At 39.1% G+C, this 10083-nt stretch overlaps 1 annotated feature.

Moving 5' to 3' along the window:
- Window positions 9789-10083: a silencer, noted in NCBI's record as "tiled region #7057; HepG2 Repressive non-DNase unmatched - State 23:Low, and K562 Repressive non-DNase unmatched - State 23:Low". NCBI's record gives its function as "represses a minimal TATA promoter and a strong SV40 promoter by Sharpr-MPRA in HepG2 and K562 cells {active_cell/tissue: HepG2 | K562}" and the evidence as "EXISTENCE:reporter gene assay evidence [ECO:0000049][PMID:27701403]".

Here is a 10083-nt window from a genome sequence, read left to right as displayed (position 1 = left end):
AGTGTTGGAGGCCATGGGTAATTATAGAAGGAGTGCTGTATTAGGGTAATTTCTGGTTTAAAAGGACACAAAGCAACCTTTTGGGGATGAAAATATTTTATATCTTGTTTGGAGCGGTTACATGGATGCATACAGTTGTTGAAATTCTTCGAACTGAATACTTATCTCTTTGCGTTTTACTGAATGTAAATGATATCTCAATTTTTTAAATTGTTAAATAACAGAGTTTTTTTCTGATTGCAAAAATAACATGCATTCATTCTAGAAAATTTAGAAATTACAGATAAGCACAATGAAGGAAATAAAAATTGCCTGGACTTTTACTGCCCAGAGATAATCATCTTCACTTTTAGGTTATTGTTATCTGGATTTTATTTGCCTGCCTGCCCAGTTATCATGTTACCCAAGACAGCAATAGTCATCCTATTATAGACATGTTCACTAACAACCTGGCCACTTATCAAATTTATCCCCACCCAAACATCCTCCAGCTTAACACTGGCTTCCCTCCCCACCCATCCTGTCAATGTGCTTGTCAGTCAGCTCTTTCCTGAATGTTGCATATGAATATCCACAAGTGTAATGGAAATTGACTCTAAGTGGATTGTGAGCTTTGAAAAATAATATGTGTTTGATGAAATAAGTGAACTAATGTTGGAAAACTACTGGATCACATAAAAGCCATTGACAAATGAGGAAGTTAGGCCTGATGAGCATGTACTAAGATAAAATAAACAGAGATGATGATTAGGCACTTCAAAAGAGAATGATTTGATTATCAAAGATAAAGCCCTTTGGAAAACAATAAAACCCTCAAATTATTTTTGTTGTAAAAGTTATGACAGTACTATAAAAGTCAGACATGAAGTGGTAAACAATGTTGTATCACACTATCATACAATTTTGTCCAAAAGAAAAAGCCAAAGTGTCATTTTAAAGTTAATTTCCAAACAAACATTTTAAAAATTATTTTCGATAACTGAACATCTCAAATGTTAATATGCATAAGAATCACCTGGAACTCCTGTTAAAAATGCAGATTCTGGTCCAGTACAGTGGCTCACACCTGTAATCCCAATGCTTTAGGAGGCCAAGGCGGGAGGATTGCTTGAGGTCAGGAGTTCAAGGCTGCAGTGAGCTATGACCCTTGTCTCAAAACAAACAAACAAAAAACAGATTGTTATTCAATTAGGTCAGGAGAAGGATCCTTAATTCTGCATTTCTAATAAGTTCCCAGGAATGCTGATGCTGTTGGTCTCTGGACTTTGAGTATCAAGACTGTACAATTGTGATCTTAGGTAGATTCACTTTAAATGGCCTTTATCCAATATTAATTATCGTTGAGTATTGAGAAATGCCTGCCTATTCTTTCAGCTATTTCGTACTAACTGCTCTAGACCTGGGCAATGTATGATTCTTAAACTATAAACAAAATAAGTTAGGGGGCTTGCTTAAGCATATATTGTTTATCTTTACCCCCAGAGTTTCTCATTTGATAGATCTGAGGTGGGGTCCAAAAATTTGCATTTTAAACTAGTTCTCAGGTGATGCTTAATGCTGCTGGTCCTAGAACTACACTCTGAACTGCTGCTTTAGAATGATTGCAAATAACTTCAAAGAAGTTGCTTACAATACCTGAATTATACATTCTTCTGGTAACATTTGCAAAACAGGTCATATGAACAAGCCGCAAACTTTTAACTACCTGAATGTTCCTGGTATATATTGCACTCAATGATACAGCTCCCCATCCATAGATTCAGCTTGACTTTATATATGTACATCATGATCTCCAACTGTTTTGATTGCAAAATTATTTTTATTGATGATTGTATATTATTTTGCATATTATTAATTATATTTCTAGTGAGAGCAATGAGACTACATATGTTATATCTCCTTAGATTATTACCAATCACTTTTGTCTCAGCACAGCTGATGAATGAGTGCCCCTGAATTTACAGGTGGTGGCTCTGCCATCATCTTGTTGATTGTGTTTGCATTATTAGCATATGAAAATATAAACTGCCTACCATACACAGTTTCTTTGCAGGGATCCCGTTAGGCAATACTCTCATTTTGAGAGGATTACTTACTTAAAAGCAGATAATATAACCTGTAAATCCACATATTTGCTTTTGTAACCTGCAACACAATGCTGCAGGCAAAAACTAACAAACTACTGAAGACTCTACTACCAATCCCTTTCCTTTGAGGGATTCCCACTCAGGATACTGCAGATCTTTAAACATTAAATCTTAGTATTGCTATTTAATTGACAACGTGATCATCTAACTGCATTTTCATTTAGCACACAGGTTTGCAACTGGTTCAAAGTAATATCAGTGATGCTGTGTCAGATGCCCTGGGAAAAATCAGAGTTTGTAGAGGTTAAGACATCTGATTCTAGAGCCAGATGGTCTAGTTCAGATTCTGGCTCTATCACCTACTACAAGCTCTGTGGTTTTGAGCAAGTAACTGGACCACTCTGTGCTTCAGTTTCTTCATCTGTGAAATGGGAATAATAATAGTAAATATTTCATAGTGTCATTGTGACACTCAAATAAGTTAATATCTGTAAAGCATTTAGAACAGTTCCTGGTATATTAAGAATGCAAAAAAATTAGCAATTTTATTATGCCCTTAGCACTGAATTGGAAGACAAAAGATCTGGGTTCAGGTCCTGGCTCTGTCACTAATTAGTTCTATAACTTTAGACAAGCCATTTAACCCTTCTGAGCTTCAATTGCAAAAGGGGCTAACAATACCTGTCTTGCCAAGCTAGCAGAACTGAGATCCCAAATAAAATAGTTCGTGAAATGTGCTTTTATAAACTGTAAAGCACTGTACAAAAATAAAAGTCCTTCTTTATAATTTTATGTGTTATATCTTAATGTATTTATAATATATGAAATGTTTTATAGTATAGAAACACAAAGCAGGAACTTACACTTAGTGAACACTTTCAATATGAGTCCCAAGTGAGCTGTGCGACCTTGAATAAGTCACTGAAATGCTCTGAGCTTCTCTTCTGTGTTTTGTTTTTTGTTTTTTTTGAGACGGAGTCTCCCTCTGTCGCCCAGGCTGGAGTGCAGTGGCGTGCTATCTTGGCTTACTGCAAACTCCGCCTCCCAGGTTCACGCCATTCTCCTGCCTCAGCCCCCTGAGTAGCTGGGACCACAGGCGCCCGCCACCACGCCTGGCTAATTTTTGTGTGTGTGTTTTTAGTAGAGACGGGGTTTCACCGTGTTAGCCAGGATGGTCCCAATCTCCTGACATCGTGTTCTGCCCACCTCGGCCTCCCAAAGTGCTGGAATTACAGGCATGAGCCACCGCACCCGGCTGAGCTTCAGTTTTATTACAGGGATAATACTGGCTTCCCAGCCCACATTCCTGGGCTGGATCTGGAGAGAGTAATGAAATAAAATATAAACTTGCACAGTTGCTGTGGATTAGAGATTACATCAGATATGCATCTTGCCCAGGAATGGCTAAAGTTTTTTTTGATAAAAAACTACACAGTAAGTATTTTAGACTTTGTAAGTCATACAGTCCCTGTTACAACTACCCAACCCTGCTATAGTTGCACAAAAGCATCCACAAACAGTATGTAAACAAATGGACATGGTTATGCTCTTTTTATTATTTATTTATTTATTTAGAGATAGAGTCTCACTCTGTCGCCCAGGCTGGAGTGCAGTGGTGTGATCTCAGCTCACTGCAACCTCCGCCTGCTGGGTTCAAGCAATTCTCTTGCCTTAGCCTCCCGGGTAGCTGGGATTACAGGTGCCTGCCACCATGCCCTGCTAATTTTTGTATTTTTAGTAGAGATGGGGTTTCACCATGTTGGCCAGGCTGGTCCCAAACTCCTGATCTCAAGTGATCTGCCCACCTTGGCCTCCCAAAGTGCTGGGATTACAGGCATGAGCCACCACGCCCAGCCTGTTCTAATAAAATTTTATTTCTGTACACTGAAGTTTGATTTTTTTTCTAATTTTCATGTCATAAAGTTTTCTTCTTTTGATTTTTTTAAACCACTTAATTTACTGTTTTTAACATAAAAACAAGCAGCAAGCTGAATTTATCCTGGGGGCCATAGTTTGCAGACTCTTGGTCTAGCACAATGCCTAGCACATAGCAGATAATACTAGTTAATATTAGTCATATAACATTGCTTTATAAACTGTAAAACTTATTAGATATAATCTAGCAACTTTCTTGTTCTCCATCATGCCTTTAAAATGATCAGCTCTTGTCCCACCATCACATCTATTCTCTCTTAGTACCTTAGGAGGTAATTAATCTGGGTTTGTGGGCTTAGCATCATCTAAGGCATTGAGTTGAACGCTTAAGAAATCTTTTACTTATGTCAAATAGTAATTCCCTGTTTTTCAATCAAATAGAGTCTTTCTAAACTAAAAATGATAATAACTCATTCTAAAACTATTTTTAGAAAATAGAGAAAAGTGGGCCTAGAGCAGTGGCTCACATCTGTAATCCCAGCACTTTGGGAGGCTGAAGAGGCCAGGAGTTTGAGACCAGCATGGCCAACATGGTGAAACCCTATCTCCACTAAAAATACAAAAATTAGCCAGGCATGGTAGCAACGTGCCTGTAGTCCCTCCTACTCAGGAGACTAAGGTAGGAGAATCACTTGAACATAGGAGGCGGAGGTTGCAGTGAGCTGAGACTGTGCCATTGCACTCCAGCCTGGGGAACAGAGTGAGACTCTCACTCAAAAATAAAATAAAATAAAATAAAGTAAAAAGAACATAACCATGTCCATTTGTTTACACACTGTCTGTGGATGCTTTTTTTAATTCAAAAAAATAAACAAAAGAAATAATAAAGAGGATCTACCATAATTATACTGTCCAGATTAGTTCCTGCTTAGTTATGTTTTTCACCTCCCACTTTGAAGGCCATTTTCTTCATTTAAAAAAAGTAAAGAAATAAAGTAATGGTTAAGTAGTTATACTTTCTCTGCCATCTGTCAGCTTACACCATTTTCTTGCTCCATAGTTTTTTTTTTTTAAAAAAAAAAAACAAACTGCAATTGTTTTTGTTATCTTTAACCTCAGCTGGTTCTGTGCTTTATCTTTCCTGAGGTTTTTCCTTCATATTTGTTCTTGCCTCTTTCTGTCATCAGCATGTCTCTCAATATAGGCTCATTCTTTTCAGCCACATGTGTTTCTTTTAGTATTGTCTTCCTTATCAGCTTCATATGTGATTGTAATTTCTTATAAGCTGTTTCCCTAGCCACACTAATCTAAGGATAAAATGGAACCATATTAATAGTAATAAAGGGTTTTGTATATTAGTTTTACCCCAACCCTCTGTTGTGGTTCTAGCTACCCTCAAAGTCTCATCCAGTTGTCTCTAGGTGCCGTTAGGTTATATAACAGGTGCTTGTAAACAAGTTATAGCAGCTATTGTCTGTGTCTGCCATGATTCTCCCCCATTCTGGCCCCCTCTCGTGATGTCTGCTGCTTAAAGCTCTGCTTGCTATTAAGTCATTTGGTAGTGCCTGACCACTGCCACTGCAGCTGGTGTCCACTATTACAGTGGTGTGTCCATGCTAAGGGGTCCTGAAGCTGCAAACTATTAAAATCTCTCTCACTCTTGGAACTGGTTCCACTGCTGCAGTGTGATGAGAGCTGGCCTCTATTGTGGTCACAGACATAAGAGGTGGTCTCCACTGCAGATCCGTTGAGCATTAAAGTTGAGGAGAAGGTGGTTTTTGGAGTCTTCAACGCACTGAGGCCATGCTGCACCTCAGTGGGATCAAGCTTTTCTCCTTTTTGTGTTATCATGAGCAGAAGAGTAGCAAAATAAAATAATTTCATGATCCTAGTATCTTACATAGTTTAGTGAAATAAAGTTGTCCATTCTTATATGTCCCTCTCCTTAGTAATCTGACATGGATTTATGAAGGCTGGACCAGAGGCCAAACCTGAGAGACAGACATCACAGTGTGCTAAACACCCCTCCCCTCTGACCAGTTATTGGTCCAAACTTAAGGGCCCTGCTTTCTCTTCTTTTAGAAGAAATTCTTTCCCAGGAGACTTCCACTCATGCATGAAAACAGAGGATTCATGCCCTGTCACTACACAGGCAGATGTGTCTGAATGAATGCCAATGGTGACCAAATTTAGGTTCAAGCCAGAATCCTCCACTCCATCAGAATTCCACCCCTTCGACACTTCCATTCTTCTGCATCTGCTGTCCCTTTTTAATGGTGTTGGTCATAGGACCGCAGTTATCTTTACTCTGGGTTTTTAGAAAATCTGGGCTTTCTAAGATTTCCCATATGTTTTTGGAGCAGACATCTGTTGTTTTTACATGCCTCCTCAAGAACATTGCTCTGTCAATTCTGCTTTCACTCTCCTACATCCTCAGTTTCCCCTCCCCTCTCCATTGGATCACTCCATCAACATACAAATTCCTCCAATTAAAAAAAATCCTCCTGACCCAACATTCTTCTTCTACCTACTGTCCATTTCTCTGCTCCCTTTTATTGCAAAACATGTAGAAATAGACCGCGTGTTGTTGTTGCTTGAAATTTGCAGTCTCCAAATTCTTTTCTACTGATTCTCTCTTGACCAGACTCCAACAGTGTTTTATTCACCTTTACAACACTTAAACTGCCCATGTTAAAGCCTCCACATGGTAAAATCCAAAGGTAAGTCTTTATTTTATCTTGACTTCTCTTCACTTGACAGTGACCTCTCTCCTCTCCAGGCACTTTATTCCCTTTGCTGCCGGGACATCTCATTCTCTCAGATTGTCTCCTATTTCTTCAGCTGCTACTTCTCTCTCAGCCTCCAGCCTCCTTTGCTCATTCCTTATCATCACCCTCACATCCAAACTTTGAAACACCTCATTCTTGAAACTCTTATATTCTTATCTTCAATGCTTCTTTCTCTCTCTCTCTCTCTTCCTTCCTTCCTTTCTTTCTTTCTTTTCCTTCCTTCCTTCCTTCTTTTCTTTTTTTTTTTTAGAGACAGAATCTCACTCCATTGCTCAGACTGGAGTGTCATGGTGTGATCATAGCTCACTGCAGCGTCTAACTCTTGGGCTCAAACGATCCTCCCACCTTAGCCTCCTGAGTAGCTAGGACTACAGGTGTGTGCCACCATCCTCAGCTAATTAAAAAAAAATTGTAGAGACAGGGTTTTGCTATGCAGGGTCTTACTGTGTTGCCCAGTCTGGTCTTAAACTTCTAGGCTTAAGCAATGCTCCTGCCTCAGCCTCCCAAAGTGCTGGGACTACAGGCGTGAGCCACTGTACCTGGCCAATACTTTCTCTCCTTCAGTGATCTCATCTAATCTCATGGTTTTAAATATTACCTATATACTGATAACTCTCCAGCCAAGAACTCTTGCCTAAATTTCAGGCTCATATATTTAACTGCCTACCAACATTTCCACTTTGAGGTGTAAAAGGAATCTCAAATTTAACATGTCTAAAAATTGAACTCCTCTTCTCTTACAAAACTCTTCCTTTCACAGTTTTCCTCCATTTCAGTTAATCACATCTCCATCCTTCTAGTCACTCTTGCCAAAACCTTAGAGTCATCCTCAATTCTTTCTGCCACTTTTCCTCTCCCATAATTCAATCATGGTAGCCCTGCCTTCAAAATATGTCGAGAATCTGACTATTTTTACCAAGTCAGCTGTTATCACTTTGGTCTACACTAGCAACATCTCTAATCTGGATTATTGCACTAATCTCCTGCTTCCTCCCTCTCGCCTGCGTTTTTAAATGTCAGCTAGATTATGTCACTACCCTGCTCAAACTCTCTACCGGCTTCTCATTCCAGAGTAAAACCAAAGTCAATAGCCTACAAGGCATTTTGCAATCTTTAATCTCATCTCCTACTCTCCCTTGGCTCACTTAGCAGGGCACAAACCCATATATACCTTCTGTTCTCTCTCCCTCTTTTCCCACTTGCCTACATAGCTCATTCCCCCATCTACCTTGGCTCAAATGTCCCTTTTTCAAGGCCTTCTCCAATAACCTTACATAAAATTACAGCATCCTTCTTCCCTAGCAATTTCTATTCCTCTTCCCTGACATTGTCCTTCATAGTTCATATCACCATTTGAACTATTACATATTTTATTAATATAGCTGTTTATTATCCCCGTCCCCCAACTAGAATGCAAGGTCCAACAGAGCATGGATTTTTGTCTATGTTATTCACTGTCATATACCCAGAACCTAAAATAGGCATGCGTATAGTAAGCATTCAGTAAACATTTGTTGAATGAATGAATGAATCCCCAGCACGCCTAATTCTTATGTTAGCACCTTAATGGATAAGGGATACGCAATCTGCATGACACTGCCTCTTTTTCTTGGTGTTCTTGTAGTTTCTAGTTACTTTACTAACTTTAAAAACTCAGTTTTTCTTATTAGTAAAAGTCAAGTCTAGAATATAAAATCCCCTAATTGCTTCCTCAGTCGTCTGAGAAATGAAACTATCAAGGAAGCAAGTAAAGAACTTTTCAAATTCTTTGCTTTTAGTAGAATGAACCTATCAACAGACATTGGAATCTTTGCAGTTCCTTCTCTGGAGCTTGTATCTGTGCCGGTTTTGTAACTAGAATGAGAAAAGAAGCATCTAGAACATTTGTATGGTTGGGTGGCATGCAGCACACTACTGCAATTATATCACTTGCATTTTCCCCTTTTTAGCATGAGCATAATGATTTTCATTATTTCTATCCTTGGGTTTCTAGACCTTGTTATAGATGAACTTTATAAAGTTAGGAAACATTTATTGAATCCAACTCCATAGCTGGTAGTTTTCTAGATGCTAGGAATATAAAGATGAAATTTCATTTTATCACACAGTAGTTGAGTTAGTAAATAAAAGGGCATATCGATACATACAACTACTTGATTGGATTGATTTCCTTTGAACAAGATTTACCTTTCTGTTGACATATTTTAGTCTGTGATCACAAGTCTTGGTGGGGATGACAATAACAATGACTTCAAGTTACAAAGTTCTAACGGGCAAATATATGTAATAATTAATTTATATTAACACTTTTCCGATCAGTGATCTTTAGGTGGGCAGGAGCAAAGACTGACTGGAGTTAGCTTAAATAAAGAGGACTTACTATATATAGCAATGAAAGTGTTGTCATATCAACCCAAGAATACCCACAAGTAACTGCTATAATAGAGGGTGGCAAAGAGGAGTTCTGATTTCATGGCATTTCTGGTGACCTCAACAGGAGGAATTCATTAACCATGACCTGTTTGCATCATTGTTCATTATCACGACTCAGTGGTATTCCACATGCCTGCTTCTTTCTCTTGTCATCTGGTCAAATGGCCATTCCTGGTCCAAGCGGCCACTCCTGGTCCAAGCGGCCAAGGCCAGATTCGCAAAAGCAGGATGTAAATGGCAGTTGGTGCTCAGTGTGGCAAAGACTATTGGGAGTGGCAGAGACTAGGAGGAATTTGAGGGAACATGAAGCCTTATCTAAAAGGGACTACCAATTGTTGCCATGTGGGAATATGAATCTATTTTTTAACTACTTGATTTTTCACATGAAGATGGAAATCCTGAGTGAAATATCTTAATATTTAAAAAATGGCAACTAAGTAAAATACAAATAAAACAAAACAAAGAAACCTGCACAGACAAACCCTGTGCAGGTCTGTGCAACAAAAAGTTGAGGTAGCAGCCCTAACTGCTTATCCTTGGAAAGGCCTGCTTACAAAGCCGGCCCTTGGCTGGCATCTGGGAACTTGGATTTCAGGAGGGTTCCCACCATTCCCAGAACTGGTAAGAGTGACTCGCTGTGCCTAAACTTTTTGTGTAGACAACATGTTTATGCTGACTACTGGCTTTCCTTCTAGGACTCTGAAATTTGAGTATGTGCCTAGCAGAGGCTGCCTATATGACTAGGCCCCAATAAAATCCCTGAGCTCTGAGTCTGTAATGAATTTCCTGGTTGGCATCATTTCACATGTTTTATCACAACTCATTACTGGGGCAATTGAGCACATCCTGTGTGAACTCCATGGGAGATGACCCTTGAAAGTCTGTGGCTGGTATATCCT

The sequence above is a fragment of the Homo sapiens genome, chromosome 12 (genome assembly GCF_000001405.40).
Source record: "Homo sapiens chromosome 12, GRCh38.p14 Primary Assembly".
NCBI lineage: Eukaryota > Metazoa > Chordata > Mammalia > Primates > Hominidae > Homo > Homo sapiens.
This window is presented reverse-complemented; position numbering and strand designations above follow the sequence as displayed.